At 50.6% G+C, this 16532-nt stretch overlaps 2 protein-coding genes across 31 annotated transcripts in view, besides 4 other annotated features; one reads left to right on the forward strand and one right to left on the reverse strand.

The window, feature by feature from the left end:
* On the reverse strand, positions 24-12597 carry RETSAT (retinol saturase). Of its 2 annotated transcripts, NM_017750.4 has the most exons (11): positions 12405-12597; positions 9749-9931; positions 8849-9090; positions 8109-8310; positions 7453-7650; positions 4044-4163; positions 2663-2801; positions 2308-2417; positions 2068-2234; positions 1708-1867; positions 24-1450 (listed from the first exon to the last, which is right to left on the reverse strand). In NM_017750.4, the coding sequence occupies exons 1-11, from the start codon at positions 12574-12576 to the stop codon at positions 1311-1313; spliced, it is 1833 nt and encodes a 610-aa protein (NP_060220.3). In that variant the 5' UTR covers positions 12577-12597; the 3' UTR covers positions 24-1310. The 2 variants fall into 2 exon arrangements, with proteins under 2 accessions (NP_060220.3, XP_047300784.1); XM_047444828.1 differs by lacking the exons at positions 24-1450; positions 2068-2234.
* Positions 12599-13100: an enhancer, noted in NCBI's record as "H3K27ac hESC enhancer chr2:85581653-85582154 (GRCh37/hg19 assembly coordinates)". NCBI's record gives its function as "activates a minimal SCP1, AML or CMV promoter by ChIP-STARR-seq in naive H9 embryonic stem cells {active_cell/tissue: H9 hESC(naive)}" and the evidence as "EXISTENCE:reporter gene assay evidence [ECO:0000049][PMID:30033119]".
* Positions 12665-13064: an enhancer, noted in NCBI's record as "active region_16120". NCBI's record gives its function as "activates an Ori minimal core promoter by ATAC-STARR-seq in GM12878 lymphoblastoid cells {active_cell/tissue: GM12878}" and the evidence as "EXISTENCE:reporter gene assay evidence [ECO:0000049][PMID:35858748]".
* Positions 12838-16532, forward strand: part of ELMOD3 (ELMO domain containing 3) — a 36980-nt gene continuing 33285 nt past the window's right edge. For 4 of the 29 annotated variants that reach the window (NR_138132.2, NM_001329791.2, XM_047445965.1 and 1 more), the window contains exons 1-4: positions 12838-12898; positions 13145-13239; positions 13624-13965; positions 15036-15321. Coding sequence is in view for 26 of the 29 variants with exons in the window: in NM_001329791.2 (NP_001316720.1) it covers positions 15268-15321 (54 nt within the window). In the remaining 3 variants the exon portion in view is untranslated. Of the gene's footprint in view, positions 12899-13144; positions 13240-13623; positions 15322-16532 lie in introns of all 29 variants that reach the window. The other 25 variants (NR_138131.2, NM_001135023.2, XM_024453170.2 and 22 more) reach the window with 11 other exon arrangements.
* Positions 13101-13600: an enhancer, noted in NCBI's record as "H3K27ac hESC enhancer chr2:85582155-85582654 (GRCh37/hg19 assembly coordinates)". NCBI's record gives its function as "activates a minimal SCP1, AML or CMV promoter by ChIP-STARR-seq in naive H9 embryonic stem cells {active_cell/tissue: H9 hESC(naive)}" and the evidence as "EXISTENCE:reporter gene assay evidence [ECO:0000049][PMID:30033119]".
* Positions 13235-13294: an enhancer, noted in NCBI's record as "active region_16121". NCBI's record gives its function as "activates an Ori minimal core promoter by ATAC-STARR-seq in GM12878 lymphoblastoid cells {active_cell/tissue: GM12878}" and the evidence as "EXISTENCE:reporter gene assay evidence [ECO:0000049][PMID:35858748]".

The raw sequence follows: 16532 nt of genomic DNA on the forward strand, positions 1-16532 counted from the left end.
GAAGGCGCAGACCCCACTTTTTGTAACTTTATAATTACTTAATTTTATTTTTTTAAAGCTTATTTTGGTGTTATTCAGTATATAGTGTTTTACTGAGCTTCTGCAAATGCCATCACAATAATAGTTTTGTTTTCTTGAACAAAAAACCAAAATAAATTTCAAATGTTAAAGCAATGGAATCAATAAATTTATTAATGTTACATTAACACGAACTACAAAGAGACCTTTCGTATGTCTGATACCAAAGACATAACTGAAAAGTCATTTTTCCAAACCTTGAGCTTGCATTCACCTACCTGTCTAACCCTCACATGTGCTAATTAACTGCAAATGCCATTTCTGGGCTTCACACACATTCCGTGGCTTTCCCTTTTCTGATGTGACTTCCCTCCCTTACCCCACACCTCCCTGCACTGTCCCCTGCTGTGCCCTTGGCTGGAATGCCCTGCAGCCTGCTTCAGCCCAGCAAAGTATTCATCTTACCAGTCCATGCCCTGACTCCTGATGTCACCCTTCCCTGCATCACCCTTCCCTGTGTATTTGGTGGATAAGGCTTGATTGAGGCTCAGGTACTGAGTCCCTGCTGGCACATTGAGAACCAGCTGCCACCCCGATGATAAGGAAGACAGACCCGGGACTTCCATATGAATTGGATATGATCATCTGACATGCACCCTACTAACTGATGGATCCTGCTGTTACCCCAAAGCTCCAGAACCACACTGGCCAGACACAGGCATTTCCTGTCCCCTGAAGAGCCACTGAACCCAGCACAAAAGAGATCTAGAGCTCTCCAAACCTATGGAATGGCAACCAAAACCACGCCCAGGTTTTGAGTTAAGCCTCATTAGTCTCCCTTTTCCCTTGACAGTGTAGAACTGTGCAGCGTAGCACTAAATGAATGAGAGCAGAAGCCTCAGGACAGAACTGAACCCACCAGGTTGAGCTGACAACACTGCCAGGGGTTCTATCCACAGATGGAATATTCGCTTTGATCACTGAGTTAGGAGGCATGGGTGAGGGATGCAGAGCGCCGCTCGTCATGAGACATCAAGCTATCCAAGTCAATATCCTATTAGTAGGGATGGCATGTTATAAAAGGCGTAAAGATCTCACCTGCCCCAGCTGGAAGCAGTGATTCCATTGCCCCAGATTCGGAATTGTGATTTAAACTAGGCCTCTCTTCAGGCATCAGAACCAAATTAGAGTGCTTTATACGTGCAAGGAACTAATGCAGAAAGACATTATGGGTAAGTCAAGGGAGATGCCCCAGCCATTGGGCAAATTCCTCTGACTCCTCCCTGATGGAACTAATTCTTTTTCTTCTGTGCCCGGATCCTAGAATCAAGATTCTTAAGGTCTGAGTACAAGTTCCGCTTCAGGATGGCGCTGCTGCACAGCAGGGCACCTTGCAGGGCCCCGACCAGTCCACAGGTGAAGATATCCTGGCCTAGGAGGCAAGAGCAGAGGCCCCTGAGCGTGCACCCAGGCAGGCCCAGGGGAGGGTGGGGCCTTGGTGCTCTTCCCTCCACATGAGGGCCACCCAGAGCTGGCTCCAATCAGACAGGGGCCACAGCCTGCCCAGGCAGCCCTGCTCAGGGGATGGGAGGCTGCAGGGGACAGCAGGGCCTGAGGGCAGGAACAGAGGACGTTGGGCGACAGGGGCCCAGGGTCTCAGGTCCTGACAACATGGGGCAGTGAGTATACCTGTCAGATAGAGGTTGGGGATGGGGCTCTGGGCCCTCAAGGAGGCCATCACACAAGGGTGCAGGCGGCCCAGGTCATGGTCAGCCCCGTAGCAGGCACCTCGGGGAGCAGCCAGATAGAACTGGTTGGTGAGTGGGGATCCTGCAGTCACACTCTCCACCTGAGGGCAGAAAGGGTGGGGCAGGCATGTGAGATCCTGGCTCCCCTCCCTCTTCCACTCTTTCCCATTCACTGACTGCAGGGATGGGTGCCCTGTCCTTCCCTGGGGCTCATGTCTTGGGGCCTGATTCCCCTGTCTCAAGGAAAGGGCAGAAACAGCACCGTGAGGTTCGTCACCACCCCAAATACTTTACCCCCTACCTTCCCCTCCAGCTGTGGGAACAGTTTCAGGACCACTGACATAGAGGCTTCCACAAAGGAGTTTTTGAAGGTCTCATAGTCACTGCCCCGCTTTCCCTTCAGCTCCGCCTGCCACTCCTCAAACCACTCGTAGGCAGTGGGTATGAGCATGATCATGGTGGACCGGCCTGGGGATCAGAGCTGATATTACTACTGCCCGGCCTCTCCCTCCACCCCCTCACCCGGGACGTGCAGCCCCACCTGGGAATCGGTCCTCCCAGGTCGGATCTTTGGCTGATGGGAAAGCGAAGAAGAGAAGAGGGATGTGTTCCGCAGCCTCTTCCCTGGGCATGGAGACGTAGCGCTCCATCCTGCATGTGACAAGAGTGTGGTGGGATCTCCAGGTTTTTGTCCTCAAAACCCCAGAACCACTGCAAGGACTGCTTATCCCTAGGGACTCCCCACAGGGGTGAAGCTGAGCCACAGCCTTGGCGTGACAAACTTCCAGGAGCAAATTAGAAATTGCCTACTTCCTCCCATTCCATAACCTCTGCTCATTCTCTGAGTCAAGCAGGGAGGCACGGGCCACACACATACACACACACGTGCACCTTACGCCTGGTCCATGTCCGTGTCATAGTAAACATAGTAGTTGGTGGACGGCAGATGCAGGTCTTCCTTGGTGCCTCGCAGGCAGATGAAAACAGAGGTCATGCCTAAGCCGGGCCGCACCGTCCCCAGTTGCTGCTTCACACCTGCCAGGGGGAGTGGTTGGTGCCTGTGTGGACCATGGCCGGAGACGGCCACTCCTTGCTCCCAGGAGAGCCTTGGGGTGCCAGCTCTGGCACCTGCCTGAGGCATGCCGGGCCCCTGGCCACTCTGCTTCCTTCATTTAACTAAATATTTTTGAGGCCTTCAGATCGTGTTCAGGAGGAAAATTCATAGACAAGGGAAAATTGTAACCAGACAGTGAGAGGGGGGCGGGAGGGACAGATGACTGTAGCAGGGCTGCCTGGCCAGGACAGTGTCAGTTCCCAGAGGTCCTGGGACAGGGGAGAAGGGAGGTCAGGGTCACAGAGAGAAAGGTAGGAAGTAGCAAAGGCAGAGTCTGCCTGTGCACCAAGCCCGACCTCCCTGCTCTGCCCCTGGGCCATCTCTGCCTCACCCCTTCAGCTCCTGAGAGTCTGAGAGAGGGGAGGCCGAGCAGGCTGCAGGCTCAGCCACGCAGGGTGAAGGAAGGAGAGGCTGGCGCTGGTGAAATCACCCTATGCCCTGGAGACAATCACAACTGCCTTACCACCCAGTCCCCATGCGGAAAGCCAGGACCTCGCTTTACCCCCCAGCCCGCTCTGCTGTCCCCTTCCCCGGCTCCTCAGGGAGCAGCTCCCGGGCCCACCCTCTGGGGTCAGGGCTCCTTCCCCTGCTCTCTAGCTCCTGCACCAGTCAAGGTTTCCGCCATACCATATCCGGAGCTACTCCATGCTCTCCAGCTCCCGCCCCATCCTGAGTCCTTCATCTGGGCCCCTCTCTCTCACCCCTGCTGGGTTACTGGTCCCCTCTTCCCAGCGGCCTCCCTTCCTCAGATCCAGTTACATGAAGGTGGCGGGACCTCTTAGCTGCGTTGGCTCGGCGGCTCTGCTCCCTGTGGGCTGCCTGCTCTCCTGCTTCTCTTCCTGAGGCCTCTTCTCTGGAAGCCCCCTCAGCCCAGAAGGGTGGGAGGAGCGGAGCTTTCAAATCAGACCAGCTACTCTGCTCAGCCCTGCCCCTTTCAGCTGAGTGGCCTCAGGACTGTAATTAATCTGTATGGGCCTCAGTTTCCCCAACATTAAATGCTAGGGTTAGGATGATGTTAGAGGTAGCGTTCTCACCTTGTTGCTTAAGGACAATCAGAGGGCCGGCCAAGAAGAGGAGAAGCATGACCCACACGGAGCAGGTTGGCTCCAGAAGGGGACACATTGGGGAACCTGCAAGAGGGGCAGTGCAGACCCGCCTTTTACCTGGCAGGCAGCGGGCGTTCCCCGGCAGTAGGTGTTCATAGGTGTTGAACAGTCCTGCGTTGGAGACCACGATGGGGCAATAGATGTTCACCAGCTCATGCCCCTTCTTCACACTGACACCTGCAGGCACAAGAGCTTGGCTGAGGGTCTGTGAGCTCTGGGATGAAGAGAAAGGCCCACGGCCCCCATGGATCTCTCTCTGCCTGTGCCCATTTCTCAGACCTTGGAGTCCAGCTACCTAGACTCAGGCAGGGCAGGCCCCTGGGAAAATGCACAGTGAGTGAGTATCTTCAGGTGCTTTCACACTATCCTACAACTGCTTGGGCTTACTTTCCCTAGCTCTGTACCCACCTGTGTGTGTGTATGTTTGTATGTACTCTGTGTTTGAGCCAAATCCCAGACAAAGCTCAAGGGCTAAAGACCTTCCACTGGAAATCCAGGCCCTTTTCTCTGCTGCCAGAGTTGTTTCCAAATACTCTTTAATACCCTCCAATCGGGGCTAGGCACAGTGGTTCATGCCTGTACTCCCAGCGCTTTGGGAGTCTGAGGTAAGAGGACTGATTGCTTGTGTACAGGAGTTCAAGACTAGCCTGGGCAACATAGTGAGACCCTGTCTCTATAGAACAAAAAAATTTAAATTAAGCTGTATGGAGTTGTGCACACCTGTAGTCCTATCTCCTCAGCCAGAGGAATGGGTTCAGCCCAGGAGTTAAATGCTACAGTAAGCTATGATGACACTACTGCACTCTAGCCTGGGCAAAAGAGTGAGACCGTGTATCTAAAAAAAATGAATGAATGAATGAATGAATAAAATAAAAATAAAACCCTGCAATGATGCCTCATCCTGGATAAGAGAACCTCCAAAATCTTACAGCAGCCTGTGCAATGTGGTCCCTTCTGTGTGTCCAGCTCCATCCGTCTCTGGTCACTCTCACTAAACTCCCACTAAACTATTAGGCAGAACCAATATCAAACAGCTGAGAGTCAACCATTTCTTACCTACAAAAATGGCAGTTTCTTATTGTTCGACCTAATACTTCTGGATGCCTGAAAACACCCAGCTCTTTCATATCTCCACACCTTTGCACATGCTGCTTCCCATTCCTGGAATATTCTCCAACCTCATCTGCTTGCTAGCTTCATCTCACCCTTTATTACTCAGCTCCAACACCTGTGCCTCCAGGAGGCTTCCCCTGTTCCACCGTGCTGTCTGTTATCCCCATCCTTAGCACACGCCTCCAGATGGCAAGTAAATGAATGCTTTTTCTTTTTTAAGATGAAGCCTCGCTCCGTTGCCCAGGCTGGAGTGCAGTGGTTCAATCTCAGCTCACTGCAACCTCCGCCTCCCAGGTTCAAGCAATTCTCCTATCCTGGCCTCCAAGTAGCTAGGATTACAGGCTCCCAGCACCGTGCCTGGCTAATTTTGGTATTTTTAGTAAAGACAGGGTTTCACTATACTGGCCAGGCTGGTCTCGAACTCCTGACCTTGTGATCCACCCACCTCGGCCTCCCAAAGTGCTGGGATTACAGGCGTGAGCCACTGCGCCTGGCCCTGGCTAATTTTTGTATTTTTAGTAAAGACAGGGTTTCACTATGTTGGCCAGGCTGGTCTCGAACTCCCAACCTCAGGTGATCTGCCTGCCTTGGCCACCCAAAGTGCTGGGATTACAGGCATGAGCCACTGCGCCCGGCCTCTTTTATCTCTATCTTTTATTACCTAGCACTTGAAAAACAAACAAATATATCTGGATTGTATTTAACTCAACTGATACCTTGCTTCCTGGACCCCTTTCAGCTGAAAGGAGAACTTGTTCATGGACATCAGAGAAAACCTTGCCCAACCAACAGCCACCTCTCTCTTACCACCCGGTAACTTATCAGTCTCTCCTACTAATGGATTCTCTCAGATCACTGATGGCCTTTTCTCCTTCATTTTTCATTTTGCACTGGGCCCCCCACTTATCACCTCCTTGAAAGGTTCCTCTGATAAATGCATGTCTACATTAGCCCAGTTTTTCCCAGGCCTCTTTTTGTCTGCTTCCCTGGCTTCTTTAAGCACCCATTAGTCATAGATGGCCTATTCTGTTTAACAGAGTCCTTCTTGCACAGACCCTCTATTCCAAGAGTTCATTTATACTGGGATTCTGAGTCCCTATGCGGGTTACAGCATCAACCTGAGCCAGGGTAATAACGTTCTGGGCCCCACTTTACAGATAGAGGCAGGGAACCTTGCTGGCCTCCATACTATCCTGTGGAATCCAAGGTTACTCATTCATTCTATTGGCCACTGAACAGCATTTATTGAGCCTCTAATATGTGCTAAGATTTATAGATACAAAGATAAAAGACAGTCTCTACACTCAAGAAGATAGTCGGCTGGTCTCCGTGCCTGACGCCTGTAATCCCAGCACTTTGGGAGGCCAAGGTGGGCGGATCACAAGATCAGGAGATTGAGACCATCCTGGCTAACACATGGTGAAACCCCATCTCTACTAAAAATACAAAAAATTAGCTGGGCGTGGTGGCGGGCACCTGTAGTCTCAGCTACTCGGGAGGCTGAGGCGGGAGAATGGCATGAACCAGGAGGCGGAGCTTGCAGTGAGCCGAGATCACACCACTGGACTCCAGCCTGGGCAACAGAGCGAGACTCCAACTCAAAAAAAAAAAAAAAAAAAAAGAAGACAGTCATAGATTACTGGGTAAATAATTTTATCTATTAAATAAATAAATAAATACTGTTCTTTGGGGACCATGCAATCCTTTATTTTTCTTTTCTTTTCCTTTCTTTTTTTTTGAGATGGCGTCTCGCTCTGTCGCCCAGGCCGGAGTGCGGTGGCGTGATCTCAGCTCACTGCAACCTCTACCTCCTGGGTTCAAGCAATTCTTCCGCCTCAGCCTCCCAAGTAGCTGGGACTATAGGTGCGTGCCACCATGCCCAGCTAATTTTTGTATTTTTAGTAGAGACGGGGTTTCACCGTATTGGCCAGGCTGGTCTCGAACTCCTGACCTTGTGAGCTGCCCGCCTCGGCCTCCCAAAGTGCTGGGATTACAGACGTGAGCCACCATGCCCGGCCATATTTTTGTTTTTTTTTTTTTAAAGAGACAGGGTTTAACCATGTTGCCCAGGCTGATCTCAAATTCCTGAGCTCAAGTGATCCTCCCATCTCAGCCTCCCAAAGTGCTGGGGTTACAGGCTTGGACCACTATGCCCGGCCAATCCTTTATCTTTCCTGCTTCCTTTTTATTTCTGGACTAATCACTATCCCTGGACCCTGCTCTGGGGCAGATTCTCACCTTTAGCCTCCATGAGGAGGTCAGTTCTCCTACTCCTTCTGGTCTCAGGGAGACCCCAGGTCTCGCCCACACCAACCCAGGGACCCAGAAGGGCAGGGCGGGGCAGGGCTCTCACCACAGGCTTTCCCAGCTGAGTCCAGCAACACACTCTGCACAGTGGCCTTTGTGAGGACAGCGCCCCCAGCCCGCTGAATCACAGGGATGGTGTGGAAGGCAATTTCACTGGAACCCCCTCGGGGATAAAAGCCTCCTTTCATGTAGTGGTTGACCAGCAGGGCGTGCATGGAAAAGGCACTGTGGTTGGGGGTGACACCTGCAGAAGCAAGGAAGGGTGGTGAGCTGGCAAGAGAAGGCACCAGCACCATTCAGAAAGGAACGTGGAATTCTGTGAGATAACACACAGCCCAGTCTATCCGAGGAACCACATGTTCCTCAGGGTCCAAGGCAGCCAGAGGAGCCTTTCCATCTAGACATGGGGTACCTTAGAGATCTTGGCGCCAGTAGGAATACCCCCCCTGCAAACTGCCATGCTGCCAAGACCAAGGAGGATAGTGTTGCTTGAATTGAAAAATCATCCAAGGCATGGATGAACAGAATTTTGACCAAGGAGTCCAGCAGGTGGCCAGACTTCTCATCCACAAGCTCCAGAGGGCCTGGGGTTTACACTGCTCCATATCAGTCAGCCAGGCAGGGTCGAGAAGAAAGATTGAGAGATGAGAGGGCAGCCGTTCCTCCTCCAGAAGCTGCCCAGAGCCCAGGCCCAGTACCCACCGTAAGTGGGGAAGATGTAGCTGAGTACTGCCTGGAGCTCAGAGGAGGCCCCCAGCTGCTGCAGGACCTCAGCCAGGCTCTGGGTGGATGCTTGAAGGAATGGAGAGAAACGAGTCAGCAGCCCACACCTGTCGAGGAGCTGAACCACGGGCAATGGGAGGAATTTCAACAGGATGGCATGAGGGGCTCCACTGGATACCACCTGGGGGAGTGAATGAGGACAGCAGGCCTCACCTCTAGAACCGCTTTGACAGAACTGCTATCCCCATAGCCTGGACCAGCCCAAGAATCCAGCAACACTTACCCCTGACTGAACTTTGCTGAATTTGAATATTTTTAAAAAATCTATACTCTGTGAATTTTTCCCATCCTACACTCGGATGAGTCCTTTTTTTGCTTTTAATTTTCCTGCTCAAATTCCTTTTCAAAAATCCCAATCTGGTCTCGGATGCAGTAAAAAGGAGTAGTGATCTGATGTCATGGAAGCCAGCCTAGTCAGGGAGGAGAGCAGGGCATCCCCAGAGGCCAGGGTGACAGCAGCAGCCGTGGAGCCAAGGCTCCAGAGAGAGAGAGACAGAGAACTGGATGGACTTGGGTGGAGGCTGAGCTAAGAACAGATGTGACTCTTCCTCCCTTCCTGCCTCCCGCACTGCACTCTCCACCCCCAGTGCCTCCACTAATAATAAAGAAACCCAGCCTTATCGAGAACAAACTCTGGGTCCTCAGCATGTCCATGTTACCTTAACCAGCTTTATATACTTGTCAATGATAGCTTCCTCCTGTGGAAACTTCTCCTTGAGGCCCTGAATGTAGGCTTTCTCTCCACTGTACATGGGGTACTCCTTTCGGCCATTGGGCCCTTCCAGTACCATGATGTCAAAAGGAGAGGACAGGGGAGCCCAGTCCAGCTGCCCTTCAGTGATCTGGTCCAAGATAAAACGGCCAATGCTGCCCTCTTCCATACGCCCAATGTAATGGATTCCTGTTGGGAGATGGAAAAACAAGGTAGTAAAGGGATATGGGGATTGAGCCCTGGAAAGGTGGCTGAGGAAGTGAGGTGGAAGAGTTTATCTGGCCTGGCCAAGTTCACGCCCAGAGTGAGCTGCTCACTCTGTCTGTAGGGAGGTGTCACAGCAGAAACCGCCAGATCGCTGCCCGATTCAACTCCCAGTAGCTATGCTGTCACATAAGAAAACTGCCCAGAGGCTGGGCACGGTGGCTCACACCCATAATCCCAACACTTTGGGAGGCAGAGGGAGGTGGATCACTTGAGGTCAGGAGTTCGAGACCAGCCTGGACAACATGGAGAAACCCCATCTCTACTAAAATACAAAAAAATTAGCGGGGTGTGGTGGCCCACTTGGTGGGATTACTGAGTGTAATCCCAGCCACTCGGGAGACTGAGGCATGAGAATCACGAACTCAGGAGGCAGAGGTTACAGTAAGCTGGGATCACACCACTGCGCTCCAGCCTGGGTGATGAAGTGAGACTCTGTCTGAAACAAACAAAGAAAAAAAGTACCCAGAGAGAAGATGGCACTTCCAAAACAACAGAAATGCTCAGTATCACCCCACAAGGGCTGCTCCAAGCCTCTTCAACATACAGCCATGCTCCCAACCCTTTTCCACACAAGCCTTACCTGTGTCAAATTCAAGGCCATTCTTTCCAAAGGTATGACAGCAGCCCCCTGCCTTGGTATGTTGTTCCAGCACCAGGACTCGCTTGCCAGCTTTAGCTAGAATTGCAGCTGCAGCCAGGCCCCCAAAGCCACTGCCAATTACCACCACATCCAGCTTCTCCGGCACTTGGTTGGCTGAAAAAGCTACAGCAGAAGGGCCAAAGGGTGGGTTTCTCAGGCAGGGGCAGGGAAATAGCAAAGATAGGGAAACCAAAGAAGACTTCTCTAGCTTGTACAGTGCAAGAAACCTCTAGAGTGGTTTGGCACAGAACTCTTGACTAACATGTTTCAAACATTTTACCTGGGAATACTCAGAACCAGCCAGGCAGATTTGGGGTTTTGCTTATTTGTTTTTTGAGACAAGGTCTCACTATGGCCCAGGATGAAGTGCAGTGATGTGATCACAGCTCACTGCAGCCTTGAACTCCTGGCCTCAAGCAATCCTCCTGCCTCTGGTTCCCGAGTAGCTGGGACTACAGGTGCATGCCACCATGCCGGGCCATTTTATTTTTATTTTTATTTTTATGTGTTTAATTATTTTTTAAGACGGAGTCTCACTCTGTCACCCAGGCTGGAGTGCAGTGGCGCAATCTCCGCTTACTGCAAGCTCCGCCTCCTGGGTTCACATCATTCTCCTGCTTCAGCCTCCCGAGTAGCTGGGACTACAGGTGCCCACCACCACGCCCGGCTAATTTTTTTTTTTAATATTTTTTAGTAGAGATGGGGTTTCACCATGTTAGCCAGGATGGTCTCGATCTCCTGACCTCGTGATCCGCCTGCCTCGGCCTCCCAAAGTGCTGGGATTACATGCATGAGCCACCGCGCCCCGCCTATTTTATGTTTTATAGAGCCAAAGTCTTGCTATGTTGCCCAGGCTGATCTTGAACTCCTGGCCTCAAGTGATCCACCCACCTCGGCCTCCCAAATTGCTGGGATTACAGGCATGAGCCAACACACCAGCCCACAAGCCGGGTTTCTTTGGAAGATGCAGGGTCTGCAAGCAATAGTGGAATAGCTGGGTCTTATGGTGGCTCTTCCAGGTCCTGATGAAAAGGCTTGGGCAGGACAGAACTGCTCAGAGGCTGCAGCTCTGAGAAATCACAGCACCAGCCCCTCCCATAGGGAAGGTCTGGGGGCAGTGCTGAGGGAGGCAGCACCTTCTCAGAAGACAAAACTGGATAGCAAGTGGTGCTATATGGGTACTTCCGACACAAGATCTGTTCTTTAACAATCACTGGCAAAGAACTGAGATCTGGGATGTTTCAAGATACAAGAGAACTTGGCAAACTGCTTATTTTTTTAATGTTTTTAGAGAGATCAATAGTAAAAAAAAATTTCACATGTAAGTATATAAGATAAATACATGAAACAAGTGTCACAATGCAATACTTAGTGGAACTATGTATAATGCACTCTGATATTTTCTATTCTACTGCATTCTAAAATACTAGTTGTGGCCAGGCGTGATGGCTCACGCCTGTAATCCCAACACTTTGGGAGGCCGAGGTGGGCGGATCGCTTGAGGCCAGGAGTTCGAGAGCCTTGACAACATGGTGAAACCCTGTCTCTACTAAAAATACAAAAATTAGCTGGGCATGCCCACTACTCGGGAGGCTGAGGCAGGATAATCACTTGAACCCAGGAGGCGGAAGTTGCGGTGAGCGGAGATCGCGCCACTGCACTCTAGCATGGACAATAGAGCGAGACTCTGTTTCAATAAATAAATAAATAATGCCAGTTGCAACTCACTAAATTGATTTCATAGCCCACTAATAGATCACAATCCGGTTTGAAAAGCAGTTAAGCTAGTCATCTCATTTTTAGACCAGCCCAGGTAGGTGCTAATGGTTATGCAGCAAATTAGTGACAGAGTCCAAGCTAAAACTCAGTTCTCAGAAGTCCAGATGATTAGTCCTTCCACTTAGAACAGTACTGTCTCCGATTGTGTAGCAAGATATGACACGGAGAATTCTAAAATTTACAAGTGAGAGGGACTCCGTAGATCAAACAGGTGATCCATTATTTTTTAAAGCAGCAGAACTCTTTAAACTCTAGAAGCAACCACAAAATATGTTTTAAAGATGAGAGTGGAGAGCAGGCTCTGAGCCTGAGGCGCCTTGTTGAACCTCTGCCAATGTTTCAGAACTAGGGTTCAATCCTTACGATTTGGGACCATGCAAAGCCTGTTAAATCACCGGACGGGCAAAACGCAATTTCCTACGCATTTCTGTGCTGCTCCCCCACACCCCTGAGCTCGCATGGGAGGGTAGGTGAAAAAGTTAAGGTCCTGGAACCAAGTGGAGGAATGAGTCACGGGGATTATCAGTTCCACGAGCCACGGGGATTACAAGTGGCAGGGCGGGTGCCAACACCTTGCAAACCAAGGACAATGACCACACCCTTGGGACTACTATTCCCGGGGCCTACTAGGGCAAAGGCTATCGACAGTGTTGCACACTAAAGCGGGGCTCCTCCACGTGCAAGGAAGCCCTCCTAGTACTTTACATATGGGGAAACTAAGGCCCACGTCTGGTAGCGGCTGCCTTGGCAAAATGAGAACCCAAATCTGTGAGAAAGCCTCGAGTGCAGCCCCGGACCCCAGGGTCCCTCCTGCTACCTTGTTTGAGAACCTTCTTCCTGGCCTCCTTGTCAGTTACCAGGGGCGCTGGGGGCCGTTTGACATCTTCGGAGAAAGGATTCGGGGAGCTGCCAGAGAATAGTCCCAAGTAAACTTTGCAGAGGACGGCCAGCAGCAGCACAGCCAGGAGCAGCACCAGCGGAAGCCACATCACGCCGGCGTCGGGTCGGGTAAATGGGACAGCTCCGACTGCGCTCAGCCTCTAGGACTGTGGCTCCGCCCGGGCTAGTTCGCTCTCCAGTCAGGAGGCGGAGGCAGCTTTGAGCACTGATTAACCAGCCAGCCAGCGAAGAGCCAACTCTCAGGTGATGATTGACCCTCCCGGCTCTCCGTACTTCTTTTGGGTTTCCATTGCCTACTGGGAAATGTAGTTCTCGGGGCCAGGGGAGCCGGCACGGAAGCGGCTGTGCGCATGAGCAGATGAGGCCTAGCCGAGGCGGCGGGACCCCCAAGTTTGGAAAGCTCTTTTAACGGTGAGAACGCGTTAACACTTGCCAAGGGGAGTGGTTGGTGCCTGTGCGGAGCTAGCAGCCGGCCTGAGGAGGGAGGGAGAATGTGATCCGGTGGAAATTATCACTATGGGGCGAGACAAGGCCGAGAGTTGTAAGACTGAAAGAGAATCCCGACTGGGAGACAGGAGTCCTGAGTTCTGGTCCTGGCTCTGCCCTGGACTCGCTGCCTTGAGGTGTTAAATTGCTTTCCTCGTCTTACGCCTCCAGGCTATGCGAAAGTTCTGTCCAAAGGCTGCTCACAGCCCCTGTCTGACTGGTTGTCATGATGAATTGAGCTCTCTGTTACCTGCGCATCACAACCGGTGAGCGTCTGTCTCTGTGCCCCTCAAAGTGGCCCATAGTTTTGTCCTGGGGGCCCGCCTGGGACGGAGTCCTCTATGGCGGGTCCCTAATGACACCCCATCCGTGGGGAACCTGGGGGACGGGGAGCCGCCCATGGACAAGCATGGTGAAAGGATCAGCTAAGGGCCCATCTAATTTAAATTCCTATGCAGAGAATCTAACCTCCAGCAAGCAGTTGAAGAATCATACCCCCTCCTTGCCTAAAGAGGGTGCATAATGAATACTTGATTGGAGAAGGATCCATTTTTACAGGAAGGCCGTTTCCTTAGGTCCAACTATCAGGAATTTGCCTTTGAGTACTTCCTTGTTTAATGGAATTGTTGCTCTTTTCTTCTCTGCTACAGATAGTAACTGTCCCTACTGAAGGCCCCAGGAGTGCTCCAGCCAGGTGTGGAAAGCTGGTCACGATTCTATGCTACTTGGTTCATTTTCTACACAGCAACAGAAGAGCCCTCCTGAGATTGCTATTACCATACCCGCCTGTCACCTTGCCAAGGCTGGCCAATGTGTGTTTTGTCATAGGCTGTCATGGAGGCCATGATGGAGGAAAAGGAAAGGGGAGGCAGATGTTGAGGCCCCAGAGGCCACAGTGAGAGCAGTTTAGTTCCTGGGGTGCCAGGACTAAGGGGGCATTGCCCTGTCCCCCGGATTACAGTGAGCCACATGTCAAGCCCAAGAGCCAGGAGGTATTCTTCCTCTCAGTGTTAATAATCAAAGCATCCTGACACCAGCAGCCAGTTTTTATGGCATCCTGGAGGGCTGACCTCATAGAGAGGCTACCCTCCTTCCTTAGTCACCCAAAGTTGTGAACTATGATTGTCAGTTGTGTGTGGGCCATCTGCCCACTTAGGATGCAATTTTTGATGTGACAGACATTCCGGATGTCCAATTCCCCTGTGATGAGGTATGAGCCTTGTCCAGCCCTTTTCCTGAGGGAAGCAATGTCAGATGAAAGACTTAGAATTGCCCAAACTGGCTAGCCAGCTGCCACATGCACAGTATTGCTGATAACTGAGAAAGGTTAGAACATCGTGTTGCATTTTGAATTTCTACCATTGTTGGAACCAGGTCTAGTATTATAAGCCCCTGACCCAGCCTGTGTGTGAGGCCTAAACAAAGCCTGAGCACTTCAGCTAAGACCACCCACCAAGGTGACACCTTTAGCCTCACGCCTTTGATAAGCTGGCCCAGGTCCCAGTAACTCCATTGTCAGAAACAGACCCCATCCCTTCTAGTGGTGCTGCTGCCTTTTGGACACAGAATCCAGCTCACAGTCCCCTGTGTGGTCCCCTTTTGGCCATCCTGTGGCTTGGGTAGTAAGAGGTAAGCATTTGGCTGAGGCAAGTTGTTCATTCAGAATAAATTCACAGCTGCTTAAATTTTGTCAACAGGCCGAGCGTGTTGGCTCATGCCTGTAATCCCAGCACTTTGGAAGGCCGAGGCAGGCGGATCACGAGGTCAGGAGTTCAAGACCAGCCTAACCAACATAGTGAAACCCCATCTCTACTAAAAATACAAAAATTAGCAGGGTGTGGTGGCGCACGCCTGTAATTCCAGCTACTCGGGAGACTGGGACAGGAGAATCGCTTGAACCCGGGAGGCGGAGGTTGCAGTGAGCCGAGATCGCACGGCTGCACTCCAGCCTGGGCAACAGGGCAAGACTCCAACTCAAAAAAAAAAAAAAATTGTCAACAGAGGCATAACTGAATGGTGAAACCAGTTTTCTTTTTCAATTTCTTTTTTTTCTTTTGTGCAGAGCTGAGGCTTCGAAGACCTCAGAGGACTTCTCTCAGCACTCACAGAAACCTCCTACACCCTCGGATGGCACAAAGGGACTGTTTTCTTACTCTTAGTCTGAGTGACTGCCAAGGAAGGCAAAGGTAGAGCAACTGGATCTCTGGCTCTCCACATAGCTTCTGATCTCAGACCTTACTAAAATGCTTTCTGGGCCCAAGGACAAAGCTCACATGAACAAATGATTTTGAGTCATGAATGAAAAATCTTGCTCTTTCCATAGTAAAGAAGAATTAAGAGATGGACAGGTAAGCATGCACTCTTATTTGGGAAAGGTGGTGTTGGTTTGAGATATATCATTAAGTATAGTAAGAATATATTAAGAGAATATTTGGAAAAATTTAGAAACCCTCATTATAGTTCTCTTTGTTCTGTAAGAAGGAGCTTCTATTCACCTCAGGGTCAATTGCTTTTCCTAATAGCTTGTTTTGTAAGTGAGTTATGAGATTTTTGTTTTCTTTTTGCTTGGGTAGTGGGGAGAATTTCATTGAGGAATCACCCAAGAAATCTGTATTTCATTGATTTGGATCATTACCTTACTAGCCTCTTCCCTGTGAAACGCTTGCTTTGGCCTGATCATCCTCAGGACTCAGTTCAATGTGATATGTCTTTGTATGAGCCGGGCAGCTAACCCTACATGCCTTACCTTTCACACTACTTTGCCCACCCAAAAATGGTCTTAAATGGAGGCTGTGGGATTCAGTGGCCAGACTGGGACAAAGCCTTTGCTTTGGGTCTCCAGAAAGATTTTCTTCACTGTAGTAATATGCGAACTGTTCCAAAGAGGGAAGTCTTTGGACACTGGAGGGGACTGAATTGGAGAAGGAAAGGAAGGATGAAATGAATCTCAGGTACACAGATGCCTGCAGGAAGTTGTTCAGCACAATGAATCACCAAATATTTTAGAGATAAAATTTCAACAAAAATTTGAGAAATATATTTTGTGCTTAGTACTGTGCCAATGGTTGTGAAACATATAAAAGAAATATAAGAGCCTGGAGGCAGTGGCTCACGCCTGTAATCCCAACACTTTGGGAGGCTGAGGTGGGCAGATCACTTGAGGTCGGGAGTTGGAGACCAGCCTGGCTAACATGATGAAACCCTGTCTTTACTAAAAATACAAAATTATCTGGGCATGGTGGTGCATGCCTGTAATCCCAGCTACTCAGGAAGCTGAGGCAAGAGAATCGCTTGAACCCAGGAGGCGGAGGTTGCAGTGAGCTGGGATCACACCATTGCACTCCAGCCTGGGTGACCAAGTGAGACTCTGTCTCCAAAAAAAAAAAAAAAAAAAATGAAAAAAGAAATATAAGAGAAGGTCCTTATGCAGGCCTTTTGCAGAGGAACTTTTGCTGCATACAAGGGTTACTGGACTTAGAGGTGTGAGACAGCATTGTAGCCCCAGCTAGTAAGGTAGGTTGCCTTGAGTAGGTGGAACTGACCTTGATCAGAGAAGAGA

Source organism: Homo sapiens, chromosome 2 (assembly GCF_000001405.40).
Source record: "Homo sapiens chromosome 2, GRCh38.p14 Primary Assembly".
NCBI lineage: Eukaryota > Metazoa > Chordata > Mammalia > Primates > Hominidae > Homo > Homo sapiens.

Coding starts and splice junctions, on each gene's coding strand:
- RETSAT (NM_017750.4), bottom strand. CDS start 12,576: ATGTGGCTTCCGCTGGTGCTGCTCCTGGCTGTGCTGCTGCTGGCCGTC. Junction 9,091..9,748: donor TGGCCTTGAATTTGACACAG/GTAAGGCTTGTG, acceptor ATCTCCCAACAG/GAATCCATTACATTGGGCGT. Junction 1,451..1,707: donor CCCCAACCTCTATCTGACAG/GTATACTCACTG, acceptor CTTGCCTCCTAG/GCCAGGATATCTTCACCTGT.